Raw genomic sequence first — 21030 nt, 5'->3', positions numbered from 1 at the left:
TCAGTTCTCCCTGTGTGCCCACTAATGATTTTCCTTTCTCCAAGGACCTATCCTTTATCTATCCTTTATCCAAGGACCATATTTGCGGTCATTGTCAATATCCATGGAATCAATCTAGCAGCAAATCAAATTCTTCCACCTCTGTCAATTCATAGAATTATGTTACTACCTCCTTGCACTGATGATGATGGTGATGATGATAGAAAATAATATCAATAAAACAGCTAATATTAGCAGTTTTCTACCTACCAGGGAATTTTCTTATTTAAACCACATAACTCTACAAGTTAGTGATTAGGTACTTTCTTTGTATTTTAGTTATGTGTCTAATTGCTGTCTTCAGATGGAATATACATGATGAAGGATCTGAGTTTACATAACCACAACCTTCAACCCTGTCCCTAGGTAGTCCCTAGTCAATGCAATGAAATAGAACAAATGTCCATGGGAGAGACTCACGTGTTTCAGAATACTTGGGGTATGGTGATCATATCTGCTCTAAATAACCAACAAAGATTACATCAAAACAATAAATATGCATAAAGAAACAAACAAAAAAGGCCAGACTATTAGAGTGTTGCTCGTTTACCTTGCGACTTGGCTGATCATCTTCAAGGGACATACAAGTAGACTAACATTTTCAAATGACTATAGCCTGATAATTTGTACTCAACTTATACACGTGGTTCCTGAATAAAGGATAATGGATAAGAATTGCCTTGAGTGAGAGACACAGTTCGAAGAGCTCATCACTATAATGTTTATCTCCATCTAATATTTTTTAGGAGTTGGAGGACATGACCTTGAGTCAAGGCCCTGAAGTTGGTATCACTCTTAGTAAATGGGCCACCACACATGATGGTACTCAGCTCCTCGTGGCCACAGCATCATTACTTAGGAGGCTTCTTCCAGTTTTTATTATTTTTTATTTTATCTATTTTGTTACTTTTTTTTAGATCATGCTCTCTCACCCAGGCTGGAGTGTAGTAGCGTGATCATGGCTTACTACAGCCTCAACCTTCCGGGCTCAAACAATCCTCCCACCTCAGCCTCCCAAGTAGCTGGGACGACAGGCACATGCCACCATGCCTAGCTAATTTTTGTATTATTATTATTATTATTATTATTTTGTAGAGATAGGGTTTCACCATGTTGTCCAGGCTGGTCCTGAACTCCTGGGCTCAAGAGCATCTTCCTCAGCCTCCCAAAGTCCTAGGATTACAGGCATAAGCCACTTGCTCTTCCAGTTTTTAGACGAAAAAGTTAACATAACTCTTTTTCTTTTTCCTCTATAAAATGGACTGAAGCAAACGAGGAGAACATAAAACAGAAACAGGTATGCTATTTTGATGAGTCTATGGAACACCTATAACTCCAAACCACAATGTATAAATAAGGGCCGCTAGGAGAAATAAAATGGTAATGACAGTAAGAGAGGATGCCAAAAAAGGCACCTAGCTTCAAAGACCTTGGGCCAGAGCCAGATGTGCATAATGATTATTTCTTTGAAAAGATACAAGAAGTATGCATAAACTCATTGTACAAGCCTCTTGGAATCCAGTTAGACTCTATGGCATACTAAGCAAACTATGGTTGGATAGCAAAGGAGCACTATCTTTGAAGAAGGAGAGGCCCATTGTGGGCAAGGTGCTAAAGAAAGAATGGCAATCGGCCAGGCGCGGTGGCTCACGCCTGTAGTCCCAGCTACTCGGGAGGCTGAGGCAGGAGAATGGCGTGAACCCGGGAGGCGGAGCTTGCAGTGAGCCGAGATCCCGCCACTGCACTCCAGCCTGGGCGACAGAGCGAGACTCCGTCTCAAAAAAAAAAAAGAAAGAATGGCAATCAAACAGCCCTGAAACTTAAAATTACCTCTGCGTGTGTGTGTGTGTGTGTGTGTGTGTGTGTGTGTGTGTGTCTCTGTCTCAGTCTCTCTCTCTCTCTCACACAAACACACAGACACACAAACACACATGCACACACACACACACACACACACACACACACATCTGAATCCTGTAACATCATGTAGTTTTACTGTAAGCAAAAGATGTTTTATTTTCTCCTGGCTTTTGTTTTTGCCCACAGGACCAACTCCATGAGTTAGTGTTGGTAAACAGACTCTCAAACTCCCTGCCTGCTACTCAGAAGAGCTTCCGTTCATCGTTTCTACCCACTCATCCCTTCTCCACAAAATTCTTTCATAAATATCTTGTTCAGAAAGAATTCCCTCTGTTCAAAGGTAATTTAAAAAACACAGTAACAAAAATAATTCAACTTGTCAAATCTATGAAACATATATTTTTAATTATAAAGAAAATGAGAAATTTAACTGGACAATAAAAAGATGGATGAAGGGCTTGGTGTGGTGGCTCATGCCTGTAATCCCAGCACTTTGGGAGACTGAGGCAGGTGGATCAGCTGAGGTCAGGAGTTCGAAACCATCCTGACCAACAAGGTGAAACCCCATCTCTACTAAAAATGGAAAAATCAGCTGGGCATGGTTGTAGGTGCCTGTAATGCCAGCTACTCAGAAAGGCGAAGATTGCAGTAAACCGAGATCGTGCCACTGCACTCCAGCCTGGGTGACAGAGCAAGACTGTCTCAAAAAGAAAAAGAAAAAAAAGATACATGAAGAACCACACCATAAAAAGTACACCATAAAGAAGCAGAAAATTTTGCCACGTATTTTCAACAAAATTTGAGAATTTAGAGGAAATAGGGCCTTTATGGGGGAAAAGTCCAATGTGGAGCTAGAGAGAAACAATGAGTAAAAGATTAGAACACCAAACTGTCAGAGGTAAGGGAAAACATGTAAGAGGTAAACAAAACATCAAAAGGAAGCAGAAAAGAAAAGAGTAGAAAGACTGCTTGAAAAAAAAAAAAGCAATAGCAATAATGACGGCAGGCTCAAAAAACCTGAACAAAATTATTTTTTTAAGATTTTGAAGGATTAATGGGAGGATGATAGGTGTGGGAAACCTACAAAGGGGTGATAATATATGCATAATTGGTGTCCCTGAAGAAAAATATAGAGCAATTGGAACAAGAACAAAATATTTTAAAACATACTTCAAGCTATTTTTTCTAAAATTTAGAAATACTTTAATCTCTACATTTAATAGGCACATCACGTTTTAAGAGGAAAACAATAAAGATCAATCAACGTGGATATATATCGTAGTATGTTCACAGATTCACACTATGTAGTAATTAATCCTGGAAGCATGTCCAAAAAAACAAATCAAATAATCTATAAATTGACAAAAGCAAATATTTGGCATTAACTGTGGCCACCCAGTTTCTGAATACCTTAGTACATCTAGGCAATTCTTCCCCACATTATCAGTCTTGTTGTGAAGTGCAGAGACCAATCCTAATTTGATGATGAGGAGTGAAAATGCTAGATACTCTCTTTCCCAGTCTTCCTTGTATTTAGGGCACAGCATGGTGATGTGGGATTCACCAATCAGTCACACTCATGTCATATCTTAACCCAGGAGATAGTAATGTGAGGGCGAGGGGTGAGGGAACTCTGTCTTTGGAAGTGGCCACAAGTGGTGGCTGGAAGGTCAGGTTTCTGGCACTGATACCTCAATCAAGTCTGGAAGTAGCAGTGGTGAAAATTGTAGTGTCTAGTACTTGGTAGCAGCCCTAACAGTTTCTTTTTTTGTTTGCCATAATATGCTGTTATTTTTGATCTTCGGATGCAGAGTTGAGCCAATTATGCTCCTCAGTTTATTTACTCTATGATCAGTTCATATACAGTAATTCTCTTATTTAAAATATGCATTCATTTCCTTTTACCTCCCAAGTAATTTCACTTATACTCTATATGTTACATTCTGTAAGATATATACCTATAATATAGATATCTGATATATAGATATCATATAGTATCTGATATATATCTTTATAATATAATATAGACATCTATATAGATATCTATAATATAGATATGTAGAGGCAGAGAGAGATATATTCATGTAAATTTAGTTTTGTTTTGGATGTATGTCATTTTAATTAATAAAATGATTTCAAGTTACAGATGTCATTCTGTATTTTTTGTTTTATTTTTTTAAATATACAACAGTTACACATGTTTATGGGGTATATGTCATATTTTGATACATGCATATGATGCGTAATGATCAAATCAAGGTAATTAGGATATCCATCATCTCAAGTATGTATTATACATTTGTGTTGGGAACATTCCTAATCCACTCTTCTAGCTATTTTGAAACATACAAAAAAAAATTGTTAACTATAGTAGGCCAATTGTGCTAATGAACAGTAGATCTTATTCCTCAATATAACTGAATTTTTGTATCCATTAACCAATACCTCTTTATCCCCTACCCACCACAACTTCTTCTAGCCTCTGATAACCATCTATTCACTAATTCCATGAGATCAATTTTTTAGCTCCCACATAGGAGTGAGAATAGGCAATATTTGTCTTTCTGTTACTGCCTTATTTCATTTAATATAATGACCTCCAGTTTCATCCATGTTGCTGCAAATGATAGGGTTTCATTATTTTTGTGGCAGAATAATATTCCATTGTGTATATATACACAGACAGACACACACACACACACACACACACACACACACACACACACACACACACATACCACATTTTTATCCATTCATTCGTTGATTCCATATCTTGGCTATTGTAAATAGCGCTGCAATGAACATGGGAGTGCTGCAGACATCTCTTCAACATATTGATTTCCTTTCTTTTGGCTCTGTACCCAGCAGTGGGAATGCTGAATCATAAGGTAGTTCAATTTTTAGTTTTCTCGAAGAAATTCTCTACTACTTTCCACAGTGGCTATATTAATTTACATTCCTACCCACACTGTAGGAGGGTTCCCCCTGCTGGTGCCCTCTCCAGCATTTGTTATTTTCTGTCTTTTTGACACATGCCATCTTAATTGCAGTATGATATTTCACTCATTCTGTTTTAACATGTTGTATCAGCACTGAGTTATGCGTCTTTATGCATGATGTTGTGCATGCATCTAGGTTTTTTTCTCTTATTCTAACTGCTGCATAGTATTCCACAGTGTGCACCCACTAGTTTTTGCCCATCTCTTTCCCCAATGAATGGATGTTATTTTCTACTGTGTACAGCTAAACAATGTTTCAATGCACACCCTAGTACATAATCTCTATGGACATCTGTGAGAATTTCACTGAGATATATGCCTAGCAACAGAATTGCTGAGTCATAGGGTATAAGTTGAGTTAATGTAACTAAAAACTGACAGGTTGCTTTCAGAAAAGCAGCAACAGTTACACGTGTACAAACAATACATAAAAATTCTCTACTGCTGCTAAAACTTGGCACTATGAAGCCTCTACTGCTGCTAAAACTTGGCACTATCAAGCTTTCTAAATTTTGCCAATCTGATGTGTGACAGTGATACTTATTTCTAGTTTTAATTTGCATTTCTTTAATAAACAATGTTATTCAGTATCTGTTCATATACATATTTATACCCATGGCTCACTTTTCTGTAGGATACTCTTTTTCTGATTGATTTAAATGATTTCCTTATATATCTTAGATTATCATCTCCTACACTTATATTCATTGTAAATATTTTCTCCCAATGTGCATGAAAATTCTGTCCAATGTTCTTCATTAAGCAGAAATATGTACATTTGCTGTAATCAAACCCATATTTTTCCTATTGTATGTGCTATTGGGTTTTGCTAAATACCACTACCCAAGGTCCAAAAGTATTGTACATATATTCTCTTCCATTAACTTTCTTGTTTTACTTTTTGAAGAAAAGTTTTAACTAATTTTTGCATACATTAAAGGATAAGGAACAAGTTGTATTTTTCTTCATAAAGTAAGGCTTTTTCCCAACGTCATTTTGTACAGCCTCTTTTTTCCTATTGATTTTAATATGCTCATTATATATTAAGTTACAATTTTCATTTATCTATGAATTCTGAGTTCTGTTCTATTGGTCTATTTGTCTGTTCTTATATCTGTACTTATATTTTTCTCATTATTTATTTGTAGTATGTTTTAATATCCAGCAGTGTAATTTCCCCTGCTTAACTCATTTTATAAAGATTAACTCGCCGGGCGCGGTGTCTCACGCCTGTAATCCCAGCACTTTGGGAGGCCGAGGCGGGCGAATCACGAGGTCAGGAGATGGAGACCATCCTGGCCAACACTGTGAAACCCCGTCTCTACTAAAAATACAAAAAAATTAGCCGGGCGTGGTGGCGGGCGCCTGTAGTCCCAACTACTCAGGAGGGTGAGGCGGGAGAATGGCGTCAACCCGGGAGGCAGAGCTTGCAGTGAGCCGCGATCGCACCACTGCACTCCAGCCTGGGAGACAGAGCGAGACTCCGTCACAAAAAAAAAAAAAAAAAAGATTAACTCAGCTATTTATTGATTTTTATTCTTCTATAGAAATTTTACCTTTAAAAATCATCCAAATGAAGAATAATTTCCTTTAAAACACTAACATTGGTCTCTATGTTGATTAGAATTGTATTGACTTGACTTATTAATTTGGAGAGAATGAAAGCATTATCTTCCCACTTATACAGAGTGTATTACTCAGGGTTCCCTAGAGGGACAGAACTGATATATATATATGTATATATATACATGTGTATATATATATATATGTGTGTATATATATGTATATATATACATACATATATATATATATCTCCTTAATAAACTCTCATCATGAGAGTTTATTAAGTATTAACTTACATGATAACAAGGTCCCACAATAGGCTGTCTGAAAGCTTGAGGAGCAAGGAGGGTCAGTCCGAGTCTCAAAACTGAAGAACTTGGAGTCCAATATTTGAGGACCAGAAGCATTTGGCACGGGAGAAAGATCTAGTTGGGAGGGTAGGCCAGTCTCACCTTTAGATATTTTTCTGCTTGCTTTATACTCACTTGCAGCTGATTAGATTGTGCCGACCAGATTAATGGTGGGTCTGCCTTCCCTAGTCCACTGACTCAAATGTTAAACTCCTTTGGCAACACTAGCACAGACACACCCAGGACCAGTAATTTGCATCCTTCCATCTAATCAAGTTGACACTCAGTATTAACCATCACAAGTCCAGCCCTTGTCAACCAGAAACCATACACATCTCCTGAGATCATACATAATCTTCAAATAAAGACAATAATAAGGTCATAATTATGCCTAACATAATACAACTATCCTTCGTACAACCAGAAACACACCAATTCCCAACCCAAATACTATTACATAAAGTTAACAATACTTAAATACTGATATGAAGTCAATAAATCTTATATCACATAATAAAGTAAAAGAAAATAAAATGAAGATATTTTCTTAGTACAAGTGTATATATGCACAAACATATTTTTAACAAAAAAGGAAGAAATGCTCATGACAGTTACACTCCTCATTTCTGCAGCTGGTCACGTGGTTGTAGCTGGTATTGATGACTACCTTCCTCTACTACCCATTCTGTATTCCCTTTGCCTTCAGCAAGCACCTCAGCAGGTCATGGCTTTTTTTTCCTAGTGGATTGATCCAAAACTTCATTCCTGAGGGGTCTGGACCATTTGTAGTACTGCCTGGACTGGGCAGTTGTAGTTTCCCATTGACCTTAATCAAAGGGCATGGTAATACTAACAGATGCCCTAATGGATCCCCTGTATTCCATGCATACCCTTCCTTACCTCTGTTAGGGAGTAGCAGGCTGATTTCATCTTGATAGTCCGGGTCAACCACCCCAGCCAACACTGTAACTCCCTTCTTAGCTTGTTGACTTAAAGGTAGGTGGAGCCCAAAGTGTCCAGGTGGCAATCTTAACTTCCAGTTTAATTGAATTGTTGTCTCCTGGTGGCAGCATTCCTCCCTCTGGAACTAAGACCTCTAAGCCAGCGGAATGCAGTGCTGCATGAGCAAGAATCAAAAATTTTGCTAGTGGATCGTTATGGGTGATGGTGAGTGGTGCCACTTCCACTTCTATCCCTTGATTCCTGAACCCATGAATCCTGGCTATGGGAGAAACAGTACCATATATTGGATGCTGATTCAGAGCATACACAGCCTTCTGGAACTTTGCCCCAGCCCTGCAAAGTATTGTCACGTAGTTTGCACTGGAATTGTGACTTCAAAAGGCCATTCCACCATTCTATGAATCCAGCTGCTTTAGAATGATGGGCAATGTGGTAAAACCAGTGAATTCCATGAGCATGAGCCCACTGTTGCACTTCTTTAGCCAAGGCAGAGGTAATGCTGTGTGGAATACCATGATGGTGGATAAGGCATTCTGTGAGTCCATGGATGGTAGTCTTGGCAGAAGCATTGTGTGCAGGATAGGCAAACCCATATCCTGAGTAATTGTCTATTCCAGTGAGGACAAACCTCTTCCCTTTCCATGATGGAAGAGGTCCAGTGTAATCAACCTGCCACCAGGTAGCTGGCTGATTACCCTGAGGAATGGTGTCGTATCGAGGGCTCAGCATAGGTCTTAGCTGCTGGCAAATTGGGCACTCAGCAATGGCCATAGACAGGTCAGCCTCGGTAAGTGGAAGTCCATGTTGCTGAGCCCATGTATAACCTCCATCCCTGCCACCATGGCCACTTTGTTCATGATACCATTGGGTGATGACAGGGGTGACTGGGGAAGGAGGCTGAGTGGTGTCCACAGAACGGGTCATCCTATCCACCTGATTATTAAAATCCTCCTCTGCTGAGGTCACCCATTGGTGAGCACTCACATGGGATAAAAATATCTTCACAGCTTTTGAGTACTCACAGAGGTCCATCCACATACTTCTTCCCCAAATTTCTTTGTCCCCAGTTTTTCAATCATGCTTCTTCCGAGTCCCTGACCATCCAGCCAAAGCACTGGCTACAGCTCATGAATCAGTACATAATCATACATCTGGCCATGTCTCCTTCCATGCAAAGTGCACAACCAGGTGCACTGCTCAGTGTTCTGCTCACTGGGAAAATTTCTCTTCACTACTGTCCTTCAGGGATGTCCTAGAAAGGGGCTGTAGTGCTGCATCTGTCCACTTTTGGGTGGTGCCTGCATATCGTACAGAACTATCTGTGAACCAGGCCCTAGTCTTCTTTTCCTCTGTCAACTGATCACAGGGAACTCCCCATGAGACCATCAGTGCAGGCTAGGGAAGAGAAGGCAGGGTGGCAGGAGTGGAGACCATGGGCATTTGAACAACTTCCTCATGTAACTTACTTGTGACTTCAGGACCTTCTTGAGCCTGATGACATATATATCACTTCTACTTGATGATGGAATGCTGCTGTGCATGACCCACTTTATAGCTAGATGGGTCAGAAAGCACCCAGTTCATGATAGGAAATTCAGGTCACCTGGTAACTTGATGACCCATAGTCCAACATTCAGTTTCCACCAAAGCCCAGTAACAGGCCAAGAGCTGTCTGTCAAAAGGAAAGTACTTATCTGCAGAAGATGGCAGGGCTTTGCTCCAAAATCCTAGAGGCCTCCACTATGATTCACCTATGGGGGGCCTGCCAAAGGCTCCAAAGAGCATCACTATCCGCCACTGACACCTCAAGCACTATTGGATCTGCTGGCTCTTATGGCTCATGTGTCAGAGCAGCTTGCACAGTAGCCTGGACCTCTTGCAGAGCCTTCTCCTGTTCTGGACGCCACTCAAAACTGGCAGCCTTTCAGGTCACTCGATAAATGGGCCAGAGTAACATGCCCAGATGAGGAATGTGCCTCTTTCTTGATTGTAGGAGGGGTCAAATGCAGCAACTTATCTTTCACCTTAGAAGGAATATCTCAACAGGCCCCACACCACTGGATCCCTAGAAATTTTACTGAGGTAGAAGTTCCCTGGATTATAGTCAGATTTATTTCCCATCCTCTGGCACACAAACGTCTCACCAATAAGTTCAGTGTGTTTGCTACTTCTTGCTTACTGGATCCAATCAGCATAATGTCATCAATGTAATAGACCAGTGTGATATCTTTGCAAAGCATTGGTCAAGGATGTATCTTCTGGATCCTCCCAGCTGGGATGAGCAGGTCTAAAGTGATTAATCCACTCCACCATCCCAAATTCTCTAAGCCTTTGGATCCTTTCCTCTACATTAAACTAAGGGAAATCAGGCATTTTCAGCTCACTCACAGTGGACCATCTTTTAATCCACATTTCAGCTAACCAAGCAAATACATTATTAGAACCTTTTTAACTCCCTGAGTTGCAACATTAAAAGCAGAGTCCCTATTTAGTGGGCCCAAATCGACAAATTCAGCCTAATCCAACTCTATGTTCTTTCCACCATTATCCCATACCCTTAATATCCATGCCCATGCCTGTTCTCCAGATTTCTGTTCATACAAATTAGAGAACTCAAGCAGTTCTTTTCAAGTGTGGTGCACCTTCTCATGGGTCACACTCTCAACCTCACCTCTAGCGGCCCGCTGGGACTTTCATCTAATTATAGGTCTAGAAGCAAACGGGGATGTTGGGGGTGGCTCCTGAAAAGAATCAACAATATTTTGCCTGGAAACTGCCTCAGGAGAGGCCATCACTGTGGCCTCAGGCAGCACAGGGTTTATCTCCTCAGATAAAGGTGGAAAGGCTGATGGCAGCATGGGTCAGGGAGGGGATGTTGCCACTACTGGGAATAGGAAGCTGTTTCTTCTGGCAAAAAAGGTTCATCAGAGTTTACAAACTCAGTGTCACCAGATTCACCAGCATCCTATGACACAACCCCATTCCAAGTTGAAGGGTCCCATTCTTTTCCAATCAATGCTCTCATTTTAACAGTAGACACCTCAACAGTAGGTGAGGCTGTGCATGCACCTTTCGTTGCAGGTCAGCCACTCACATGATAAGAGCGTGTGTCTGTTTTTCCACAATTTCAGCTGTTTCTCTACAGGAGATAAATTTAACTTCTTGGTTAAGTTTATTCCTAGGTATTTAAATTTTTGTAGCTATTGTAAATAGAATTACTTTCTTTATTTCTTTTTTAGATAGTTGACATACAGAAATGTTACTGGTTATTATATGTTGATTTTCTTTCCTGAAAGTTTACTGAATTCATTTACTAGTTGACAGTTACACTTTTTAGTGGAGTCTGTAGGGCTTTCTACATACAAGACTACATCATCTACTAAGAGGGAAATTTGACTTCCTTCTTTCCAACTTACATGATCTTTATAACTTTATCTTGCCTAAATGCTCTGGCTATAAATTCCAATGCTATATTGAAAAGAAAGGAGAGAAGGCACTCTCTTCAATAAATATTGCTGTGAAAACTGAATATCCATTTGCAAAGAATTAAAGTAGACCTCTATTGCTCACCATTTACGGAAACCAACTCAAAGTGAATTAAAAATTTAAATGCATGGCCCAAACTATAAGAAAAATAGAAGAAAACAGGAGAAACTCTTTATGACTGGTCTGGGGGAATCGTTTTTTTTTTTTTGGATAAGACCTCAAAAGCACAGGCAACAAAAGTAAAAATAGACAATGGAATTACATCAAGCTAAAAAGCTTCTGCACAGCAAAGCAAACAATCAACAGACTTCCATCAACTTCAACAATAGTGATGAGGCAGCCTACGGAGTGGTAGAAAATATTCACAAACTCTGCACCTGACAAGGGATTAATATCCAGAATATATAAAAGTTGGAGCTATATGAAGAGAACACATGGACATATAGAATAGAACAACACACAATGGGGTCTATCAGAGGGTGGAGGGTAGAAGGAGGGAAAGGATCAGAAAAAATAACTAAGAGGTACTAAGCGTTAATACCTGGGTAATGAAATAGTCTGTACTACAAATCCCTATGACACAGTTTAACTATGTAACAAACCTGCACATGTACCCCGAACTTAAATTAAAAGTCAAAAAAAGAAAAGAAATCTAAACAACTAAACAGCAAAATAATAATGATAATAAATTTTAAAATGGGCAAAAGATCTGCACAGACATTTCTCAAAAGAAGACATACAATGTCCAACAGGTATATGAAAAATGTTCAACATCACTAATAATCAGGGAGATGAAAATCAAATCCCCTATGAGATATCATCTCACTCTAGTTAGAATGGCTATTATCAAGAGCACAAAAAATGTAAAAACGCTGTTAAGGATGTGGAGAAAGGGAAACTTTTATTCATTGTTGATGGGAATGTAAATTAATATAGCCATTATATAAAACAGTATGAAGGTTCCTCAAAAATTAAAAATAGAACTGCTGTATGATTCAGTAATCCTATTACTAGATATATATTAGAAAAATAAAATCAGTGTGTCAAAGAGATATCTGCACTCTCATGTTTATTGCAGCATTATTCACAATAGTTGAGATATGAAATCAACCTTTGTCTAACAACAGATAAATTTTTGTTTAATTGTGGTATATATATATAATGGAATACTATCTAGTCATAAAAAGAATGAAATCCTGTCACTTGTGAAAATAGATGAACATGGAGGACATTATGTTAAAGAAAATAAGCCAGGTACAGAAAGACAAATGCTGCTTTCACTCATATGTGGAATCTAAAAGAGATGATCTCATGGACGTAAAGAGTAGAATAGTGGTTACCAGAGGCTGCGGAGAGGAGCAGGAAGCAGGAAATAGAGAGGGATTGGTAAACAGGTACAAAGTTACAATTTGAGAGGGGGGATAAATTCTGACATTCTATTGCATAGTAGGGTGAATATAGTTAACAATAATATATTGTGTGTGGTAATAAAATAGCCAATAGGAAGGATTTTGAATGTTCTCACTGCAAAGAAATGGCAAGTGTTTGAGGTGATGGATACATAAATTACCCTAATTTGATCATTACACAATGTAGTATACATGCATAGAAACATCACACTCTTCCCTGTAAATATGTAAAATTATTATGTATCAATTTTAATTTTGAAACTTAAAAAAACCCACCCTTCTTGTGTCCTTAAAATAGGTAAGCAATAGTTGCCCTTGCTATGTTCTTTCTAATCTATCACTTAATGATTAGTTAATATTTTAATAGCCATATTGAAGTATAATTGACATATAATAAATTTCACATATTTGAACTTCACATATTTAAACATATATTCTGGCTGGACAGGGTGGCTCACGCCTGTAATCCCAGCACTTTGGGAGGCCGAGGTGGGCGGATCATGAGGTCAGGAGATCGAGGCCATCCTGGCTAACATGATGAAACCCCGTCTCTACCAAAAAATACAAAAAATTAGCTGGGCATGGTGGTGGGCGCCTGTAGTCCCAGCTACTCGGGAGGCTAAGGCAGGAGAATGGCATGAACCCGAGAGGCGGAGCTTGAGTGAGCCGAGATCGCACCACTGCACTCCAGCCTGGGCGACAGAGCGAGACTCCGTCCGAAAAAAGATAAATAAATACATAAAAATAAACATATACTCTTTTTTTTTTTTTTTTTTTTTTTTTTTTTTTTTTTTTTTTTTTTTTGAGGCGGAGTTTCGCTCTGTCGCCCAGGCTGGAGTGCAGTGGCGCGATCTCGACTCACTGCAAGCTCCGCCTCCCGGGTTCACGCCATTCTCCTGCCTCAGCCTCCCGTGTAGCTGGGACTACAGGCGCGCGCCACCATGCCCGGCTACTTTTTGTATTTTTAGTAGAGACGGGGTTTCACCGTGTTAGCCAGGATGGTCTCGATCTCCTGACCTCGTGATCCGCCCGTCTCGGCCTCCCAAAGTGCTGGGATTACAGGCGTGAGCCACCGCGCCCGGCCAAAAAATAAACATATACTCTTGATACAAATTTTTATCAGATATATGATTGGCAAATACCTTCTCCAGTCTGTGGCCTATCTTTTCATTCTTTAAATTGTCTTTCAAAGAGCAGAAGGTTTTAATCTTGATAAAGTTTAATATACCATATATTTTTATTTATGGACTGTGCTTTTAGTGCTGTGTCAAAGAATTATTTGTCTAATCTGAGGTTACAAATACTCCCCTGTTCTTATCTATAAGTTTTATAGTTTTAGGTTTTATATAGAAACTTGCAATTCATTTAAATTGTTGCATGTTGTGTAAGCTATAAATTAGAATTCATTTTGTTTGTTGCATATGAATACCCAATTAATCCAGTACTGTTAGAGGGAAAAAATGCGACTATCCTTTCCACTCTGAATTGTCTTTGCACTTTTGTGAAAAATAAGTTGCTAATATAAGTGTGATTCTGTTTCTAGACTCTGTATTCTGTTCAATTATCTATTTGTTTATCTTTATGAAAATACTGGAGCACTTTTAAATGTATCTTTTAAATAAATCTTCAAGTAGTATTAATACTTCGACTAGATTTTTTTTTAAGTTTCACTATTCTAGGTCCTTTGAATTTGCATGTGAACGTCAGAATCATTTTGTCCATCTTATAAAAATGTCTGCTGAGATTTTGACTGAGTTTGCCTGAACATTGCAGATCAGTTTGAGGAAGACTGACGTCTTTAAAAACTTGTGTCTTCCGACCCATCACACAGTAAGTGCACCATTTAGGTCTTGATTTCAATTAGCATTTTTTTGCAGTTTTCAGTGAACATGACTTTTATACTTTTACAAGATTTATCTCTGTATATTTTATATTTTTGATGCTATGGTAAATGGTATTATTTTATTTTCAGGTTTTGATTGTTCCATGTTACTGTATAGAAATACAATGGATATTTGTATATTGATTTTGTATCTTGCAGCCTTTCTAGACTCACTTATTAGTGCTAGCATGTTTTTTGTAAATTCTGTAGGATTTTCTACGAAGATGACCATGTTGTTTACCAATAAAGATAATTTTATTTTTTTCTTCCTGATCTGGACGCATTTTTTTTTATTGCACTCGCTACAACCTCCAGTTGAATATAAGAATGAAAACAGACATCTTTACCTCAGTCCTGATATTAACAGAAGAGCACTGAGCTTTTCATCATTAAGAATGATAGTAGTTGTAGATTTTCCTCAGAGACCTTTATTAGGTTGAAAAAGTTTTATTCTATTGCTTGTTTGCTGAGAGTTTGTTTCCTTGCTTGTTTGGTTGGTTTTAATCAGGAATGGATGTTTGGTTTTTTTCAAAAGCTTTTTTGCGTTGTTCAGGAATACAGATCTTCCTTGGTAAATAAAAAAAAATCCATATTTAAAATTAAGCCCATTATCTTTTTTACGAGACACTGTATGTGTGAGGTAGTGTGTATGTATTTTCAATACAATCTTAATGGCTGTTTCTTGGTAATTATTTTTTCTACATTATTTCATATTTCCAAATTTCTGTCTTTCCTTTTATCCCCTTTTTCCTTCTTTCCTGCATTCCTGTAGATAACTAAAACTGTCTTCTCATAATTTAAAAAGCCATATATAAAAATATATTATATTTTTATTTTTGTGGTTATTGGACTGAACTTATGATAAATATATGTTTTATTTTGTCTTTGCATTGTCTCAATTTATCAAATACTTATTTCCTCTCAATGAAAAATACAAATATTTTATCTTCTTTCAATTTCCTTTGCCTATAGTATAAACCATTTCCTATAATATCTCCAAATAAAATAATAAAAATAGCATTTCAATTAAGTAAAGAAAGAATGATGTGTTTAATAAGTAGCATTGGTATAATTATCTAACCATCAGGGAAAAAAATAAAGTTAAATCCATATTATGCTTCACATAAAAATAAATTTCATATGAGTTAGAAATCTAAATGTAAAGGACATCAAGATACAGTTTATAAACTAAAATTGTTAAGGAGAATATTGATATTACTTCAAACTAGGGGATATATTTTAGCTAAACAGGAAATCAGAAATCATAAATGAAATCATGACATATTTCTTACATTCCACAAAATTTATTTTAAAATATGGCACAATTTATTTGCTTTATATTTTTACCATGTTCATTATTTACATTTTTATAAAACATTTCTAATTGCTTTTCTTTTAGTCTTGCTAGGAAAACAAATATATATTTTTGACACATAATTATTTTTGCTTATTCTATCAATTTAAATTAATATTTTTTTGAAAACATTTTTTTTTCAGCAGCACACTAACTTCCTGTACTGAGCTAGTAGTTTGTCATGAGATTTACTTTCATTATACCTTTCAGCTAATTCTAATGCACCTTGTACCTCATTTTATTTTTGTTGCTCACTCTTTAAAACTTATTTTCTTATGTCATCTAGAAATTTCCTGACAATAGTGTATGGTAAAATCGCTATAAAAGTTCGTTTTTGGTTGTTCACATATATTCTGATAACTTACTTGTGTATAGAACTCTAGATCTAAACCAATTTATTCTTAGAACTTGGAAGGAGTTCTTGGATTGTCTTCAAGCAACCATTATTGGTAATGAGAATTCTGATGCTAGTTTAATTTTCGTTCTCTGAAGTTATGTGCTTTTGCCTTCTGAGGATTTTCTCTGTCTTTTGTGTTGTGAAAAATGAAAAGCAGAATGAAAGAAATTCAATTGTGTGTGTGCATGTGTGTGTGTCTATGTTACCTTGTAAGCCTTTTGAATTGTTCTCTTTGTATTGGAAAACCACATCTTAGGCTGGGGTCGGTGGCTCACGCCTGTAATCCCAGCACTTTGGGGGGCTGAGGCGGGCGGATCACGAGGTCAGGAGATCGAGACCATCCTGGCCAACACGGTGAATCCCCGTCTCTACTAAAAACACAAAAAATTAGCCAGACATGGTGTCGGACGCCTGTAGTCCCAGCTACTCGGGAGGCTGAGGCAGGAGAATGGCCTGAACCCGGGAGGCAGAGCTTGCAGTGAGCAGAGATCACGCTGCTGCACTCCAGCCTGGGCAATGGAGTGAGACTCCGTCTCAAAAAAAAAAAAAAAAAAAAGGAAAAATCACATCTTACTACACCTCTGGTAAATTGGTTTCTATTAAGCATTTATTTAAATCTCATTCCATTTTTGTTCTCTAAAATTGTATTAAATATCAATTTTATTAGTATTCTGGATCTCTTACTTTATCATACTTATTAATTTTTACTCCCTTCTGTGAAATTTTATCAATTTTTGCTTTTACCTCTTCTGTTGAATTTTAAGCTTAGGCAGACTATTTTTAATTTCCAAGAGGCCCTTCATAATATTTCAGTTTTTCCTTTTGTTATCACAGTCTAGTCTTGTTTTGTAAAGGCAACAAGATTCCTGAATCTAATGGTTGTGATGTTTCAAAAGTTCACTATGTTCCCTAAATTATCCATTTTTGGTGGGGTTAATTGATCTTGACCTTAAAATTTTTTTTAATTCATTATCGCTATTTATTTTACTCATATTTCTGGTATGATGTTAGTTGTCTGCTATAGTCAGCAATGAAAGAGACTGTTGATTTTTGATATGTAGTTGGAATACTGTTCCTCTTATATGGCTTCCTCTTGATGCTCTTGATGAGCTAATTGGGAACTCTGGTGTAGTGACTGTCAACCAGAAGGCTTTACTGTAAGTCTACAATTAGCACTAACCTGGCTGTTACAGTATAAGTTCCCCAAGTGTCAGATGACAAAGGCCTTTCTTTAGGAGCTTTATCCTTCCTCAAGAGACAAGTTGTGTCATGTTGAAGTAGCGTACTCTTGGTTTTGTATTCTCTGTTTTGTTTGCCAGGCAGCTAGTTGCTCTCTGGGAAGGTGGTGGAGAGTATGAGAGCCAACAGGACTGCTGGTCTGAAGGTCACCTGTTCCTCTGTTTTAGGCCCCTATTTTGTACCCGCTAATTCTGAATGGGACTTCTCCCCTGTATTCTTCCATACAGATTGGCTTCTACCTCTTTCTGTGAGCCTACATGTTAGTGTGGAGAGCATTTAAATAAAATATACAAGTAAACAAATCAATAGGATTGTAATTTCAAACTGATTATTACTAGGACAGAAATAAAATAGGGTGATAAACATGGGGAAAGATACGACAGGCGACTTACGTTTTGCCTCAAAAAATGAAGACTCATTTTTAGAAGAATGATTTATAAAGAAATATAATGGAGATTCTGGATTTTTTGCTTTCATCAATGTTTCATATTATTTCCTGCACTGGTGAGGATGGACACCAAATGCAAACATCTTTCATTCAGGGCAACTGACTTAAACAGTTGTTTTTGAGACAGGGCATGAAATAAAGTATGCCTTTATATATAAATAAAAATAGTTTAAAGAAAATTAAAGTGGTTCTATAATGACTGTCAAAGGGTGGGGGCAGAGACAGAGGAACATTTAAACTTAATGGTAAACCTTTTTTAAAATTTAGTGATTACAAATAATTCATGTCTGTGTATAAAATGAGAACTTTGTATATGTCTACAACCATAGTTTCTGGCACCACGGGCTTTTGAAAATAATAAAACTAACATTGCATTACATTAAAACTATCCTATAAATCATACTTCTTATCAAATTGGATTGACCTTTCCTCTTGTTAGTCCAAATCAATGGGGTTTGACTAAATATCTGGAAATATATAGAAGAGACCAGATGTAAAAAGTCAAGAAACTAGCAAAACTCTAAACTTCATATAACTCCTGGACCAATTGTGAAGACTCAAGGGGAGAAGCAGTCTTCCTATAAGTGTCTGAAAAATGAGCCCACTGAGAAGATGGGGTGTTTAGAAAAGGCAGTGGGAGGCAGAAAGGAGAAAAGGGCATGGTCAAGAGCTTCACATTAGAATAGTAGTTTGAATGACATCAACATATTACTCAGGTTATGATTTAAAAGTGTGTGCATTGTCCATTTTTTTCCTCAACATTATCTGTTGCCACTTTATTTTTTTTTCTTTTCAGCTCTTATTGAGGTCTCTAGTTAGAAATAGAAGTATTTCCCAGTTTATGTTCCATGGAACACTAACTTTGCAGGAAGTTAGCATGTGCTGAGAAGCAGAAGCACACAAAGAGCTCTGTGACCATTATAAGTTTGGGAAATTATTTGTTAAATTGAAACGAATTTGCTTCCTGCAAAACCTCTCAGAATCTTTAGTATGCTAATGTGCACTGTGAATATATGAAGTGAGCACAGTGTATGTGCTGTTTCTTGAGCACACTGGGCCCTGAATGTTTTTGCATAACAACTTTTAGGGACTAGTGTTTCAATAAAGATACTTTATGTTATGCTGTTTTAATCACTCAGCTGTCAAGAAAGCTAGAGATCCGAGATTAAAATGTGGAATATGAGCCCAAATATTAAGATAAGTCTTTGTCTATTTGAAGGATTACTGTAGCATTTCAATTAGGCCAATATTTCTCAAACTACCTGTGATAGGGGTCCAATTTGGTTTGGTTTGTTTTGTTTTGCTAAATTACTAATTCATCTCTAATCAAACTTTTATAAAATCCAATAAAAACATATTACTCAGAAAATGAAAAAAGAACACACAAAATAAAACCCAGTTTTAACAATTAGATTCAACAGAAATAAAATTAGTCTGTGAAATTGCTATTGAAGTTTCCAAATTCAGATGCTCAATTTCTGTACTTAATCATTGCAAACCTACAAAAACAGTTTGCTGACTAGCACCAGTCCACATTACCAGTCGCACATGGAGTAGCTCTGAATTAGGGTACATGCATGCAAGAGGTATCGATATGGTAACCTACTGTTCTGAGTTTAGATAAAATGGATTTTCACAATTTTCCCCACTCATTGATGTGTGCAAATGGCAATCATGACAATGCCTTTGTGAGATGATATATTTTAAATGTAAACATTGGAACCAATGTTCCAATAAGGTTATCACAAAATACACTTTTTTCTTCCCACTTTCACCCATTCTACACACTAACAGAGTACCATAAAGATATATAGAAACCTCAAATTTGGATACTGACTTTTTATTATTTATTTAATTTAATTAATTAATTTATTTTTTGAGACAGAGTCTCGCTCTGTCACCCAGGCTGGAGTGCAGTGGCAAGATCTCGGCTCACTGCAAGCTCCACCTCCTGGGTTCACGCCATTCTCCTGCTCTCAGCCTCCCGAGTAGCTGGGACTACAGGCATCCACCACCACACCCGGCTAATTTTTTGTATTTTTAGTAGAGATGGGGTTTTACCATGTTAGCCAGGATGGTCTTGATCTCCTGACCTCGTGATCCGCCCGCCTCGGCCTCCCGAAGTGCTCGGATTACAGGCGTGAGCCACCGCGCCCGGCCAATACTGACTTTTTTTGTTTCTGTTATCCCAGTCACAGGATTCCCGTCAATGGACACTGCAACAGATTGTCTTGTCAACATTGATTTCCAGATCTTCAAATATCAGAGTGGGAATGAGTACCAGTTATGTGATTTGGCCACCCTGAAAATAACTCTATGCTAAATGTGAGCAGCTGGAGTTCAAAACTTGAATCAGATTTTTTTTTCAAATATCTGCTACTTGTGGTGTGTGTTGGAGGTGGGGGAAGTGAACACATGCTTATGTATGTATATGTGTTTATGAATATTTGTCTTGGGAGATACTCCTTAGCCCTATAAACTCATTTCCTTAGACCTTTTCTTTCTCTCTTTCTCTGTGCACCCCTCTTCAGGAGTCTGGATTCTTCCCTGCTTCATCATCAGTGATCTAGGTCTCCCAGTTCTCTTTCTCTTTAAATGCTAGGACTGATGCACTTCTAAATCTCTCGGAAGAGTTCCAATAATTTATTATGTTTTCTTGTTTGGGTGACCAATGACAGAGTATGATCCTAGACCTTTCCTCCTGCTATACCTCTTTCAAACTCCATCTCCTGTTTCTAGTACTTTAAATTTAAATTATCTTTGGTTGCAGATCTTAACTTCTGTCCTATAGGGGCAAGGAAAGGCAACATATCTGCCCAGGGCTGTTCAATTAATAGCTTTTGATGGAAACAATTTAGCTTTTATATGTTAGCAAATCATAATTTAAATGAAAGAACCAAAGGGTCTCAAGAGCTATGAAGAGGCAATTTCATATACTCTCTATTGGTTTTTCTCTTATTCCTGAAAGTAATACCAAATTGTCCATTCATATTTTTATTTGCATTTCTCATTCTGTACCCAGTTACCATCAGACTTCTAAA

General features: G+C 37.6%; 1 long non-coding RNA gene across 8 annotated transcripts in view; it reads right to left on the bottom strand.

Annotated features, from left to right (window-relative positions):
* LOC105373456 (uncharacterized) overlaps positions 1-21030 on the bottom strand; it is a 529181-nt gene that overhangs the window by 200179 nt on the left and 307972 nt on the right. The window lies entirely within an intron of this gene.

This window comes from Homo sapiens, chromosome 2 (assembly GCF_000001405.40).
Source record: "Homo sapiens chromosome 2, GRCh38.p14 Primary Assembly".
NCBI classification, from domain to species: domain Eukaryota; kingdom Metazoa; phylum Chordata; class Mammalia; order Primates; family Hominidae; genus Homo; species Homo sapiens.
Note: the sequence above shows the minus strand (reverse complement) of the source record. Positions and strands in the feature narration are given on the sequence as shown.